The sequence below is a fragment of the Homo sapiens genome, chromosome 13 (assembly GCF_000001405.40).
Source record: "Homo sapiens chromosome 13, GRCh38.p14 Primary Assembly".
NCBI lineage: Eukaryota > Metazoa > Chordata > Mammalia > Primates > Hominidae > Homo > Homo sapiens.
This window is the reverse complement of record NC_000013.11, coordinates 28597646-28614074: the sequence shown is the minus strand read 5'-3', so window position 1 is coordinate 28614074 and position 16429 is coordinate 28597646. Positions and strand designations below refer to the sequence as shown.

Below are 16429 nucleotides of genomic sequence, written 5' to 3'. Positions count from 1 at the left end.
CAACAGGCAACAGTGGCCACCTACAAATGGGGATACATGTGGCTGGGGAGAGGATTCACCTTGAATACCACATTCACACACTACTTCTCAAAGAAAAACTGCATTATTGAAAACAATCTGTCCTTTACTACCAGTAACTACTCTCCATTGTCACTTCTCTGGGATAAGCGCTTAGTTTATCTGTGTTTTCTCGTTTGGCTTATTTATGCATTTACCTCGTAATGATACTTGTATAAATAAACAGATAGTTCTTGACCTCTGGAAGCATACTGATAAATCAGCCCACAGACATGCGGAGGAACCAAGGGCAAAGAGCAGACAATTCACTTGGTGCAAGCCACAAGGAAGGTGTATTTGAGGGAATGCATTGTGGGTGGAACATACTTAGTCAGGGTGGGGTCACAGGGAAATCACCTTTCTTGCTGAAGAGATTCCAGGGAAGACAGGAAGATTGTGGAGGTGGTTTCAATGGCCAAGGAGACATTTGTGAAGTATGGGGGAGGAAGGATGATGCAGACACAGGTGTAGCCTCAGAGGTGACTTAGCCAGAACACTGTTGCAGCTGACCAGGGGCTCATCACATGGAGATCCCACAAATGACAACAAGAGAACATTTGATTAGAGATTTGAAGGAATGGAGGGAACACGTCGTGAAGGTGTGTGGGAGGGTAATGTTCAAGTGTGGAAGCAGCCACTGCGAAAGCTCTGGGGCAGAAATGTGCTTGACATATTCAGGAGACGGTAAAGAAGCTGTTGTGGCTGAAGCAGAGGGAACTATATTACTCTCTAATCCAAACTGTAAGCTCCTTGAGGTCAGAGACCATGTCTGCCTGGCTCAAGGTTTTGCCCCTAATGACTCACACTGGGGCCAGCGTATGCTCTAACTGAATTAATTCACATCTTACAATAGCTTCCCCACTGATGTAGTTTCACCCATCAGATTCTGAATGGGGTAGACAGGGAGCCTCTGGACAAAGGTAGATTTGGGCAACAGAGGAACAGGATTTATAAAACAAGAATAGCAAACACTTGGGGGCTTGAGAATAAACCTGACGGGTACTGCTTGATGCTCCAGTGGTCAAAGCTGACTATGGAAGAAGGCTCTGGAAATGACTTCTTATAACCATACCAGGTTATATATATGCACTCTTTCAGATGACTAATGACTTAATATGAGATAAAAACAACATCCTCTACTTACTCTGTGCCTAATACTTCACTAAATGTTTTAGCGGAATTAGCTTTACATGATTGTTGTGGAGATTAAATGAGATATCTCCATTTTACAGATGAACAAACTGACTTTTAGACTTGCCTGAGGTCACACAAACAATGGCAGAGACAAGTAAGGAGCCTGGGCAGTGTGATTCTAAAGTCTTTACCGTTAAACCCTGTTCCGTAATTGCCTCCCTCCTCTTCTTGTCCCATGGGATGGTCTTATTATCGTGGTATGGACACGCCAGTGAATGAAGGTACAGAGAATAAACCTTAAATCTCAGATTGGACTCCCACTTCAGTGTATTTTTAAATCAAATGATGGCAGCTGCCCCCAGTGTTTGTCTTCTGGCTTGGGGTCTAGTCCTCAGGAATGAGGGCAAGAAGCAGCTACAATGAGAGGGAAGTCTTTATCAAGGAATCTATGACCTTGAGGCTTGAAATTGACTGAGAAAAGTACCCCTGACTAGGAGGGAGCCCGGTGATAAAAGGAAGTAATGCCTAACAAGGGAACGCCTGGATGTTTTCATGGAAAATGGCAGCACAGTCCTGGAAAATCCCTGTCATGCCCTATCTCTCCAAGACACAGATGAGATGAGCTGTGTGGTATTCCCACCGGGACAAGCACTGACAGGAAAGTAGGGTGGCTGGGAGGGCAGAAGCACCCACCTAAGGGATCGAGATATGCCTCCAAAATCAACAGCCATTGATTCATTAACTTACAAGTAAAAACACAATGGAGATGTTTTGGCTGTTGACACATGGCCCTGCCACTGAGGCCCAGCAATGTCAATTAGGAAGGAAACGGTTGAATGCAAGTTCTTTAGGTTGTCCGTGTGACCTCTAACACGATCACAGGCCTATTCAAAGGGTGTATGGAACTAACAGTAAGATGACTAACTCAAACCCGGACAGTGGCTAAGAGCAGTGAGTTCCCTGAGAAGTCCTTTAAAAGGAAGAATGTGGGCTTTCCCATCTCTATCTACTTCCCTCTGGAGAGTCTTTAAAGAAATCAAAGAGACTGAAGACAGGAAGTAGCCTTTATCCTGTGATCTCACCACAACCCACTTGGTGCTTTACTGCCAAACAGAGGCCTCTTCCCTGATGTGATAAGAAGAGCTGCTTTCTTGAAGATCTGAGTGGTCCTTGGCGCTTACGGCAGTCTTGTCAGCAGTATGTTGGCCGCTGGATCAGGGGCTGAATCCTAATCTCTGGGAAAGCCCTGTGGATAAAACCGTGAAGAGTTGACATGAATGCAAAACAGTGAATGAACCCATTCTCCAGATTAAAGGAAAATGGGGGATGAATGGAAGATGCTTGGGCCAGTTCCTTACAGTATCGCCAAAGACTGTAACACCAGGCTAGATCGACTTCCTGCCCTTTAATTTAGCTTCTGAATTTTCTGCGAGAACACAGATATCTTTATCAGGATAGAAAATACATGCGCATTAATTCCTCAAAGGAGGGGAAGCGCACTGAAACACATCAGGATGAAAACAAAACACACCAGGGCAAGCGACAATGAGGAAAACTACAAAACATCTGCCTCCATCTGGTCTAAAGGCAGGGCCATTAGTGCAGGATGTGGCACCAATTCAGAGCTGATTGCCAGAAAGCCCGTTACTCTGATCTTCGTGGACCACAGCATGAACTTTGTGGGCTTGAAAGCACAATGTTGGTGTTTGTGTGTGTGTGTGAATACGTTAAGGAAGAAATTGAAAATGAGTAATCAATGTCAGGAAGTCACATCTCTTTTTCAGACATGACACATGTTTATTTTTAATGTGGTTCTAATGTCCCTCACCAGCAGAAAAAGTATTGAACTAAGAGCGAGGCCCAAAACCTGGGTCTGGTTTTGGGTTTTCCACTAAGTGGATGGCCTTCAGTATTTCAAGTCAGTTGGGATTTTAGAGCCTGCAGTTTGTAATGCCTTGGGCTAAACACACTGGGAGATATAAAGATGAACAATCCAAGACATCTGTCCTCAAACTTGCATCCAAATTGAGCAGACAGGCAAATGAAAAAAAAAGAAAAGAAAACCATTGAAAGCATAAGGGAGGGGGTGGTAGGTGTTAAAATAAGAGTACAACATGTTAAGATAATAGGAAGCTGGAGGAGATTGATTTCAACTGGCAAGATATTTAATAGGCATAGAGGGATTACATTCTAGGTGGAGGAAATAGCATTATAACCTGGCAGATTTATAAAAACAGAACCACAGTGAGATACCATTTCACACTCATTAGGCTGGCTACTATAAAAAATAATTAACATGTTGGTGAGGATGTGGAGCAATTGGAACTCGTGTGCACTGTTGGTGGGAATGTAAAATGATGCAGCCACTATAGGAAACAGTATGACAGTTCCTCGAAAAATTGAAAATAGAGCTACCATATGATCCAGCAATTCTGCTTCTAGGTGTATACCCCAAAGAATTGAAAGCAGAATCTCAAGGAGATGTTTGTACACTCATATTCATAGTAGCATTATTCATAATAGCGGAAACGTGGAAGCAACCAACCCAAGTGCCCATCAACAGTGAATGGATAAACAAAATGTGATACATACATGCAATGAAACATTATTTAACCTTACAAGGAAATTTTGACATGTGCTACCACATGGATGAACCTTGAGAATATGATGCTAAGTTAAATTAGCCAGTTACCAAAAGATAAATACAGTAGATTCCACTCATATCGAGGTACTTAGTCATCATATTTATAGAGACAGAAAGTAGAATGGTGGTTCCCAGGGCCTGGGATTAGGGAGGGGAAGTGAGGAGCTGTTTAATGGATACAGAGTTTCAGTTTTACAAGAGGAAAAGAGTTCTGTGGGAGGATGGTGGTGGATGATAACACAACAATGTGAATGTACTTAATGCTACTGAGCTGTACACTTAAAGATAATCAAGGTAGTAAATTTTAGATTATGTGTATTTTATCACAATATAAAAAACAAGAAGAAGCAGGGTAGATTTAAGAGAAAAGAGTCTGTGAGCCAAGGGTTTAGGAAATAAAGACCAATCAGGGCTCTTGGGGAGGGTCTCGAGCCAGGGCAAGCCAAGTTTTTTGCCACGTGGTACCTACCAATGAGAGGGGAGAGGAAGAAAAAAATAAACTCAAGATAGGCCATCTATGGGGAGAAATACATTTTGTCTTGGGAATGACCCAATAAATGTCATGGTCATATTTGTTATCAATATGTTTTATGAGTTTTTGCTATAAATATGGTACTTAGGAATATCCCAGTGCCATTTGGGATAAGACAGATTCTTATCCCATCTGAGAAAAGTCTTGTGGGGCCACGCCATGCTCCATTCCCATGACCCAGACAAGCAACTTTCTATCTGGATGTGAACCAGGTGAATATCCCAGATGGCACATCAAAATTAGGATTAGAGGAGGGCTAAATATAGGGACACTTTACAAAGATGTGAGTGGAGTGTAGGGGAACCATGAGGAAGAGAGCAGTGTACTGGAGCAAGTAACTGGGACTGTTACCATCCCCAGACCTACAGGGTGAGGAGAGGGAGTGAGTACTGGCTCTGGAAGGAAGGGGCCACGTTGCTCAGTGACTGCCTTCAGAAGTACAGTGACATTGGTGCCCTGCTGCAGCCAGTCCTAGACAATCCCACAGGGAACGAACCTGGGAAAAAAACAACTCTGAACTCACTCCTATCTGGGACCTCCTGCCAGTGTTCCTCACCTGCCAAGGCCGAAAGGGAAACCCGTGGCTAAGCGGCCTGTCTGATGTCGTCCAGGGCTCTCTAACATCAGCACTCCCTGGAAGGCCTGGTACAACACAGATTGCTGGACCCCACCACACCGTTTCTGATTCAGTAGGTTCTGGTGAGGCCTGAGAATTTGCATTTTTAACAAGTTAACATTTTAACAAGTTAACAAGTGGGGACCACACTTTGAGAACCACTGACGTAGCCCATGCAGATCAGCCTCCTAGAACAAACAGCAGAAGAAAGATGGAGAGTAGATTTGCAAAGGCAAACACCTATTTAATTTAATTTAATTTAATTTAATTAAGGATGCTGATGGACCCCATATGAGTATCAAAATCTTTGCAGGCCTCAGTTTCCGTGCCTATACAATACTCAGTTTCCTTGCTTACTTTTTGAAGTGTCCCCTATATTCAACTCTCCTCTAATTCTAAGCCCTCCTATCTCTAAAAGAGACCTGTAAGATGCCTTCTAACTCATTCTGTGATCCCATGGATGCAGAGCTGCAGTACCTAAAGCTCCATCTCTTGAATGACCATGAAGATAGTACTTCCTTGTACAAGTGAAGCAGTTACTATTGCTATAGACATCTAGTGGTTCGTAGAGTCATGTGATGCATTATGTGGATAAATTTTTGTTTTCTAATTGTTTTTCCTATTTGATTTAAAGCTACTTTGGACAGGACATATACAACGACCTTTCCGGAATATTTCTCTATAGACAAAAAGAGGCATTCACTACATCAGATAACCTATGCTCCAAAATAGGCAGGTCCCATTTGATTTGTGCAAAATCAGACATCAAGGAGATCATTTTAAATGTTATGAGAGAATGAACCTAATTAATAAAAGTCCAGTGGGTTTATACTAACTATGCCTGTAAAATTGCTATTCAGTGTTGCCTATGAAATACTTTTCTCTTTTCCAGAGCTCATTTGTTAGAATCAAAAGACCCCTGTGGTCCTCCAGGTCATCGGTGACTGCACATGTGTAAGTGTGTACATGGGCTCTGAGTGTTTATGCATCTCTTGGCGGGTGTTTGATTTTGGGTCCCATATATTCACAGTGATGCGGATGATACATAGGCATGGCTGAAAGGGTTTGGAAAATACCTATCTGTTCTTTGGTTCCCATTTTTTCTTTCAATTAACAACAACAACAAAAAACCCTTTTCTTAAGTTCTTATGCAATGGCTGGTTGAAAATAGACCCCCTCCCAGAAGTCTCCTTCTTCCTGCAGCCTCCAGGAATCTTAAAATGTCTTTTAAACAATCATTTTGCTCTCTCTTCAGGGTGTCTCTGACCCAGAAATTTAAGCTGCTCTTAAGTTACTGATTTACGTATTAATTCACGGATCTGTGGCTATGAAGTCAATCTGTGGCTTAAGGATACGTGAGTAAGTCATGGGGAAGATTTCAGTTGGGATATTTCTGGCTGGATTCTGGAAGATTAAAGACTTTCAGGTGCCTTTAGGGTAGATCTTTCATTAAGAGCTTTCAGAGACTTGGGCCCATGGAATAGCCTCCCCTATAGATCCATTTCATTCATTCAACAAACTTTTCTGAGTACCCACGATAGTGCTCTAGAAACCCATCATGGTGTGTGGTACGGACTCCTCACGTAGCAGACTTAAACCTGTATATGAGGTACATGAGGAGCCAGAAGTCAAAGTGATGAGTTCTCCCAGTAGACTTCTAGGGCCCCTGGGGACAGACACTTATTCATTTCATGACTGTATATCTAGCTACCTAGCACATACTGGGTTCTCAGTATTTATTGACTGAGTGCAGTAATGGAAAAGTAAACAAAGAGCTGTGGGGGCATTGAGGTAGGACTGCTTCATCCTCCCTGGGGGGCCCGGGATGGGCACCAGCTCACTAGGAGAAGAAGGGAGAGGCCTCTGTACCCTTGTCTTCTTAGGAGGCCATGAGCAGCCCTCGCTCTGTACTAAAAGGTTCAATTTGTTTTGACAAACCAAAGAGACAAACAAAACAAGCCTGAATTTTGTTCTAAACATATTACCTCAAGCTTTTAGGGCCAACAACCTGAAAATGTCTGCAGACCTTTTACACGGAATTGCCATTCATGGTTCACTTGACTCTGGGTGGGGAGGTGATAGATTCAAGCCAAATTACTTGTGACTTCAAAATGTATTGATTGTGAACTGAAGAGACCTGAGCATCATCCTTCTGAAGAATATACAGAAGGTATTAAATGAGCTGGAGCCCCTGCCTGCTCTCTTCTTGTTCCCTTGTTATTTTTACTTGGGCATGGACCTGGGATGGGGCAGAGTATTAGGGGATGAAGGTGAATATGGTGAGTAGAACCATAAAGCCAGAAATTTCTTTTAAATAAGAAGGAAAAGGAAACTCCCAATGAATTTACCGTCTTCCGGGAATTACCTGATTCTGGATTAGGGAGGCAGGGGAGTTCTGTTGATTCAAGGGAAAGGCATGCTTGACATGGGAGTGTAAGAAGAGAGAGAAACTTTGCTCATTTGTTCCTTCTCTTCCTGTAACCAGCCACAGACTGAAATAAACTTAAGAGGCCCAGTGGTCGCTGGAGACCAGCTCACGAGAGCCAATCATTAAGTTTTCAGGAAATTTACCAAGCGGCTGATAAACACATCTGTTACTAAAAATTATACAAACTTACAATTAAATAAATTATATTAAAAATAAAAGTGATAAATGCTCAAAACTCATAATTATTACATGTTTTACTATTTGGTATGCTTTTGAGGTTACTTATGTCTGTTAAATCTGTATGGTGTAAATATTATAGGTGGAATGTTACCACCCATCTCTTCCTCAACCCTATGCTTAGTGGCCTCATGTTTTTCCACCCCCACCAGAGTCAGCTGTTAAACATTCACTAGCACATCACTGCAAAAGACCCTCAGAAGTTTCTTAGGAATAGATTTACTTAAGTTTTCATGGGCCTTGGGGTGCTGTGGGCAGTCCAGCTTGGTGGCCTCTGAGGACAGCTATCCTGAGCAATGTGTGCTGGACCATAATATTGGCCCTTCATTTGCAGCACAATTGTTGTGTATTGGGGCATTATGACATTCTGTGGTTGGAAATATTTCATTATGTAATGAAATAGAAAATAATTCAGAAGAGAGTGTTAACAGCTTTATTAATATATAATTCACAGACCATATAATTCACTCATATAAAGTGTACAATGATTTTTAGTATATTCACAAAGTTGTGCAGCTGACACCACAATCAATTTTAGAACGTGCTCAACACCCTAAAAAGAAACCCTGGGGCTGGGCGCAGTTGCTCACGCCTGTAATCCCAGCACTTTGGGAGGCTGAAGCAGTCGGATCGCCTGAGGTCAGGAGTTTGAGACCAGCCTGGCCAACATGGTGGAACCCTGTTTCTACTAAAAATACAAAAATTGCCAGGCGTGGTAGTGCATGCCTGTAATCCCAGCTACTCAGGAGGCTGAGGCAGGAGAATTGCTTGAACCCAGGAGGCGGAGGTTGCAGTGAGCCGAGACCATGCCATTGCACTGCAGCCTGGGCAACAGAGCGAGACTCCATCTCAAAAAAAAAAAAAAAATAGAAATACCATTTGACCCAGCCATCCCATTACTGGATATATACCCAAAGGATTATAAATCATGCTGCTATAAAGACACATGCACACGTATGTTTATTGTGGCACTATTCACAATAACAAAGACTTGGAACCAACCCAAATGTCCAACAATGATAGATTGGATTAAGAGAATGTGTCACATATGCACCGTGGAATACTATGCAGCCATAAAAAATGATAAGTTCATGTCCTTTGTAGGGACATGGATGAAGCTGGAAACCATCATTCTCAGCAAACTATCGCAAGGACAAAAAACCAAACACCACATGTTCTCACTCATAGGTGGGAATTGAACAATGAGAACACACAGACACAGGAAGGGGAACATCACACACCAGGGCCTGTTGTGTGGTGGGGGTGTGGGGGAGGGATAGCGTTAGGAGATATACCTAATGTTAAATGAAGAGTTAATGGGTGCAGCAAACCAACATGGCACATGTATACATATGTAACAAACCTGCATGTTGTGCACATGTACCCTAAAACTTAAAGTATAATTAAAAAAAAAAAAGAAACCCTGTGCACATTAGCCATCACTCTCCATTTCCCCTTAGTCTTCCCTCTCCTCTCCCCTCCAAGAATGAGGCAACCACTAGTCTTCTTTTGGTCTCCAGAGATTTGTCTATCTGGACATTTAATGTAAATGGCACCATACAATAGATGGCTTTTTCTGACCCACTTCTTAGACATAATATAATGTTTTCAAGGTTCATCCATGTTGCAGCATTTGTCAGTACATACTTCATTCCTTCTTATTGCTGCATAATATTCCCTTGGTTGGATATACTACCTTTTTTTATCCTTTCATCAGTTGATGGATATTTGGATTGTTTCCACTTTTTGACTATTATAAATAAATGCTGCTATGAGTATTCGTGTACAAGATTTTATGTGGGCATAAGTTTTCATTTATGTTGAGTATTCACCTACCGAGGAGTGAAATTGTGGGGGTAATATGCTAACTCTGTGTTTACTATTTGAGGAACTGCAAAATATTTTCCAAAGAGGCTGCACCATTTTACATTTCCACCAGCAATGTACAAGAGTTCCAATCTCTCTACACCCTCACCAATACTTGCTATCTGATTTCTTTATTTTAGGCATCCTAGTGGGTGTGAGATGGTATCTCACTGTGACTTTTATTTGTATTTTCTTAGTGACTAGTAATGTTGAGCATCTTTTCGTGGGCTTATTGGCCATTTGTATATCTTCTTCGGAGAAATTTTCATTCCAATTATTTGCTCATTTTTAAATCGAGTTGTCTTTTTTATTGTTGAGTTGTAACACTTCTGGATTCAAGTTGCTTATGAAATATATGATTTGTAATTATTCTCTCCCACTGTGTGGCTTGTCTTCACTTTCTTGATTGTGTCCTTTGAATCACAAAGGTTTTTAATTTTGATGGAAGTCCAATTTATTTTTGTTGTTGTTGTGCTTTTGGCATTATATATCTAAGAAGGCTTTGCCTAACCCAAGTCCACAAAGACTTACTCCTGTTTTCTTCTAGGAGTTTTGTAGCTTTAGCCCTTAAATTTAGGTCTGTGATATATTTGGGGGAACTTTTGTGTACAGTGTAAGGGAAAGATCCAACTTTATTCTTTTGCATGTGGATATTCAGTTGCCCTAGCACCATTTGTTGAAAATAATATTATTTACAAATTGAATTCTCTTGGCATGGAATAGATTTTGAGGTATTACCTTACTTTTTCACCTGATGCTACCCCTAATTTCTTTAAACATCTATTTATTTCCATTAATCATTTCTGGCCTCATAGCTCAGGCTGCTTGGCCAGGCCTTCCCCTGAGGCACCCATTTTAACACAGACTGGTGTATAGAGCCCAGACCAGAGGCACTCTCTAATCTCCATGTGCATTAGCCAGGGTAGACCAAGTACTGTAACAAACAGCCTCCTACATCTCAGTGGCCCAACACAATCAAAGTTTATTTTTCTCTTATCGTAGTCCCATGTGAATCGGTGGGGGAAGGGATGTTCCATGCACGTACTCAGGACTCAGTCTCCTTCCAGCAAGAGGCTCTTCTGTTGCCTAGGGCTTTATAGTCCTCTTTTTTCCCTTAGCTGCTGACCAGACCCAGATGGTCGGGTCTGCTGTCCCCAAGGGCTTATTGTCCTTCACTAGATCTTCTGGATCTGGCCAGTAGTCAAAGAAAGAAAGAGAGAGAACATGGAGGATCTTGCAGGAGTTTTTTTAAGGGCCAGGCTTGGAAGCAGCACACATCGTTCCTAATTCCCCAGGATTCATCATACAGCTCCAACTGGCTGCAAGATAAACTGAAAAATGTCGACTCACTGTATGCTGGGAGGAAGAAGAGACAGGATTTGGTGAACACAGAGCAGTCTCTGCCATAACATCTATATAATCTATTTTAAGAATTGACCCCCAAAAATTATGAGTGTGAATATGTTTGCTCCTAGCTGCTGCAGAAACCCTCCACCTCCAATCTCCCTCCTCCACATTCTGTGACAGGGGAATATCTCTCCAGCAGCTCAGTTGCAGTTTGTGTGAGCCCCCTTGGAAGGCAATTGCTGGTTTGCAGAAAGGCAAAGATCTGTCTGAGCGGAACAGAGAGCAGAACTGCAGCAGAGTCTATGGGAAATCCAGTAGAAAATTCCAGGAGGAGGGAGCTGGTTTCCTGAAACTTTAAGCTTGATGGGACCTGAACAATATATCATGGCAAATCCTTGGGTGTTGAGTATGCTAAGGTTATAGTCTGTATTATGACTTTGGATCTTGTAAATGTCCATTTATTGAATGTCATAAACTGAGGAATTATGAACAAATGAGGCATGAAGACAGAGCGGGTTTCTCCTGTCTGGAAAGAACTCCTAGGATTGTAATTTTGTGGGCCTCTGATTAAACTGTGCTTTTGTTGCATGTCATATGAGACACTGATTTTTCCTTGTCTCTTCTATATTCTTCTGCTGAAGCTGAAGTCCTTTCTACCACTCTGCCATTCACAGGAGTAGAAGCAGCAACTACATGTTTTCCAGAGCCATCATTAAGAAAATGAGAAGGCACCAGGTCTCTCCTACACCATGTGCCGTCCCCAGTAAACTAGCCCCATCCTTTTATCTTTTCCTCATGGAGGCCTCAACTGCTGGTCCCCTTCAGAAGGGCTCCAAGCCCCCTGCACCTCACTCTAAGTCTGGGCCCTAAACTGAACTGATACCCATGTTAGAGGAAACATATTTGTGCATTTCTGAAAGACTCAATTTGCCAACTTTTCAGAAAATCACAGACCCCATCTGTGATTTGCTCCTTCACTAGTGATTTTGAATAATATCATGTGTGGATGGGCGTTTGCTTCCTTCTACTCTGACTGTCCCTTGAAATGTGTCTCAGGCCACACCCTCTACCTGGAACACCCGCTTCACTCCAGAAGCCCCCTCCTACCAATATTCAAATAATTCTAAAATCACGCTTCTCTCACAGAGCCTTTCCCAGTAAACTGGACCAGGATGATGGTTCTCTCCTCCCCCCACCCCCAAAACCCATCCTGTCTGGACCTGCCATGCACGGGTCATTCGTCACACAACCACACCAAAAACTCTTGCACCATTTCTTTATTCATTACATTTACTAATTAATACATTTGTTGTTTGTCTCGGGCTGGTTTGCCCAGTTGTAGCTGTCAGTCTGAATCAGTGAGCTCCATCTGACACTGCAAACTTCTAGAATAAGGGATCCTTTCATTCTTGATTATAGCCACCAATAATCATGTTCTGTTTTTTCTTGGGTTCTGGCCTGTGGTCACACAAAGCATCAGAACTGAAGTGCTGCCTTTAGCTCCCACAATGCATATGGTGACTAAAGGGAAAGAAGGGAAAGTGGAGTGAGCCCAACAGATACTAAGACCATTTATCATGGGCCCCGATTTAAACACAGCACTTTAGGGATTCTTACCTGAAGCCAGTGAGGAACATAGCTTCGTCCTTATTTTCTAGATGAGACTCAGAGAGGTTAAGTAGCTTGCCCAAAATCAAACCCTAAATTCTGGAACCATTATGCAAATCATGTCTGTCTGATTTTCTGTTTCTTGATGCCTCCCTAAGCCCAAGTGACAGGTGTTACTGTTCACCACACTTGCTTAGAATAAAGAGCCTCAGAGCTTTCTCTACATACATGTGTTGATCACAAAGGAGAGAGGATAGCAGCAAAAATCCATCTCTTCTATTAGACCATTAGCTCAATACATGTGCCCTATTGATAATAGGTGAGTACTTTCATTTAGGTACTCATCTATCAAGAAAGATAGCAAGTGCAATGAAACGGGTAGAAACATCCCATTCCCCTCCCCCACCCCCATGAAGGAGCTGAGTAATATTTCCATAGAGAAAAATTACATGGTCATAAGAATGAATTTGGGACTCAGTTCTTTCCTATATGTTGGTGAGAATGGATTGCTTTGAGGAAAGATAACAGGCTAGCATGTATGGACTAAAAAATATTTAAAGGGTCCCTTTCTCTGCACATAGCTGGGCTTGTAAAGTTCTTTCACAGCCTGTAGCAGTGACCCAGGTAGTGTTCAGGTACATGGAAAGGGTTTTACAGAAGATTCCATTAAGTACACAGTGAAAGGCTTTTGGCTTTTGATTATTAGCAACTGATAGGACCATCGGGACGTGCAGATGAAGTGCAGTTGATTCCCAATGAGGCTATTTCTGTCATTGGTCAGGTCTTCTCCCAGATCCTCCTCCCTCACAACCACTACCTGGCCTGGCAGGCAGCAGTGAGGGTGAGGGTCACGGAGAGGGAAACAAAAACAACAGTAATGCCATTTACCTACCCCTGATCTCAAAACACAGTGGCTTAAAACAACTATTCATTTGCTCACTAATTTATGGGTTAGTAATTTGGACTGTGCTAAGCTAGGACAGCTAATCTGTGCTCTGAGTGGTGTTGGCGGTGCTCAATCATGTGGCCAGGTCTTGTTGGCTAGAAAGGCTGGGCTGGCTGAGTCTCCCTCCATGTGTTCTTTTGCCCTCTAGGAGGCTAGCTTGGGCTGTTTACATATTGAAGGAAGAATCCCCACCAGCTAGAGAGAGTAGGTCCCACTGTAAATTTGCTTTACAAGCCTCTGCTTGTATCACTGTTGCTAATATCCCATTGATTGAAGCAAGTCACACCGCCAAACCTAGCATCAATGTGAGAGGGAACTATGCAAGGACATGAGTTCAGGGAGATGTGATGTATTGAGGACCATCACTGTAACAATCTACCACACCATATTTTATAGAATATATGCCACAGTGTGTTTTATGCTCTCCATATGAGCAACTTTTTCTTTTGGAGAAATTCATTCTTTTTTTTTGCCTCAAAAAGTGACATTTATTCACAGAAAAAAATGACAAAATGTCCATCCCTTGGCTCCCTTCCCTCCCGCAGCCCTGCTGCTCCTCAGCCCCCAAGATTGAACTCTGGCTGGGGCTAGGAAGCAGGACAGCCCCTCAGATGAGGTCAGCAACATTGAGGGGCATTTCCTCAATGGAGGTATTATAGAAGGTCTCGATGTCTCAAAGAGTCCTCTTGTCTTCTTCTGTCACCATGTTAATAGCCACACCTTTACGGCCAAACTGTCCACGTCGACCGATTCTGTGGATATAGTTTTCCCTGTTGGTGGGAAGGTCATAGTTGATGACTAAAGAAACCTGCTGCACATCAATGCCTCTGGCCAGCAGGTCAGTGATAATCAAAACTCTGCTAGAGCCAGAATGAAACTCCCTCATGATCCCGTCTCATTCCTTCTGGTCCATATCTCCATGCATGGCAGAGACAGTGAAATCTTGAGCATGCATCTTCTTGGTAAGCCAGTCCGCCTTCCTGCGGGTGTTGAGGAAGATGACTGCCTGGGCAATGGTCAGGGTTTCATACAAGTCACCCAGTGTGTCCAGCTTCCACTCTTCTCGTTCCATGTTGATGTAGAATTGGCAGATACCCTCCAGGGTCAACTCTTCCTTCTTGACCAGAATCCAAATGTGTTCCCTCATGAACTTCTTGGTCACCTCAAGCACATCAGAAGGCATTGTAGCTGATGGCAAAACTACCTGGGTGTTGCTGTTGAGCTCTTGGAATATGCCATAGATCTGGTCCTTGAATCCATGGCTTAACATTTCGTCAGTTTTGTCCAGCACAAACATCTTGATGTATTTGGGAGACAGGTATCTCCAGTTAAGCATATCAAACACATGGCCAGGGGTACCCACAATTATATGGGGAGCTTCCATCTGCAGTTTCTGTACCTCAGCATGAACGTTGGTGCCCCCAATACAGGTGTGACAGGAGGCATCCATGTGGTCTCCTAGTGCTATGACCACCTTCTGTATCTGCTGAGCCGATTCTCAAGTGGGTGCTAGGACCAAGGCCTGGGTGGCTTTTACATCTAATTCAATCTGATGCAGAATTGATATGGAAAATGTGGCCATTTTCCCAGTGCCAGATTGGGCTTGAACGATCACAACATAACCCCTGATACAAGGTAGAATGGCTCGCTGCTGGATGGCAGAGGGCTTCTCAGAACCATAGGCGTAGATGCCATGGAGAAGGGACTCCAAGAGGTTCATGTCATCAAAGCTGTCAACAATTTCATTCCAGTTACTCTCGATGACACCTTTGGGCTCCATCCCATCAGGGCCATTGTCTCTGGATCAGGAATCCTGACTTGCGACATGATCCTTAGAAATTAGCAACAAATTAGTTCTTAATGCACATTGATTACTGTGATAACCAGCCTCTAAGATGGTCCCCAATGATTCTCACCACCTGGTGATCCATGTAGCTAGTAAGATATTGAGGAAATGACTGTGTTACTTCAGAGGTTAGGTTATAAAAAGACCTTGCAGCTTCTGCCTCACTTGTTTGGATCACTTACTTTGGGAAAATTAGCTACCTTGTCATGAGAACACTCACTCAGCTGTATAGGGAGGTCCACGTGATGAGAAATTGAGGCGTCCTACCAGCAGCCAATACTGGCTTGCCTAACACATGAGTGTGCCATCTTAGAAGCAGATCCCCCAGCCTCAGTCAAGCCTTCAGATGACTGCAGTGCTGTGACAGACTGAGCCACAACCACCAGCTAAGTCATTCCCAAATTCCTGACTCACAGAAAGCATGAGATAATAAATGTTTATTATTATTTTAGGCACTAAGTTTTGGAATAACTTGTTATGCAGAAGCAGGTAACTAATACGATTACCTACCAGCTTTATTTAGGCAAGACATAGAAGGTCTGAATTAACTTCTGAGATATTTTGATTACCTAGAAAAATTAAACTTATTTATCTTAGACACCAAATCTATTTTTTCCCTTAAGGAGAAATAGGTTTTGCCTTTAATATAAATAGTATTTAAAAAATAAATGGATAGCAAAACATTATATCTTGTGCAAAAAAATATCCAGCATCATCAGATGTATACTTTCCTCTAGCAAACAAAAGCAACAAATCATTCCCTGGTTTGTTATGCAAAAGAGATATATTTTTGAATATTTTAAGATATAGGGAGATAAGGAATTTGACTGAGCAGCATGTCCATGGAGACTTCTAAATTTTCTTCAAACAAATCCTATATTTAGAAAATATAACTCGTGATGATTCCCTTGGGAATTCCCCTAAGCCCTACTTTACTGCTTGGTACATGGTGTGCTCTTATTAAATATGGTTGTGTCATTTGAGATTTAAGCAATACAGTGTTGGGTTGAATCCTGGCTCCATCATTTCCTAAAGTAATTTCTCAGAGCTTTGCTTTCCTCATCTCTACGTGGAGCTAAAGATGCAAATCGTGTGGGATTGTTAGGGGACTTACATGTGGTAATGTATATAAGGGACTTATATCTATGTTATATATCACATATACAAC

General features: G+C 42.5%; 1 pseudogene; it reads right to left on the bottom strand.

Annotated features, from left to right (window-relative positions):
- On the bottom strand, positions 13871-15258 carry EIF4A1P7 (eukaryotic translation initiation factor 4A1 pseudogene 7; annotated as a pseudogene).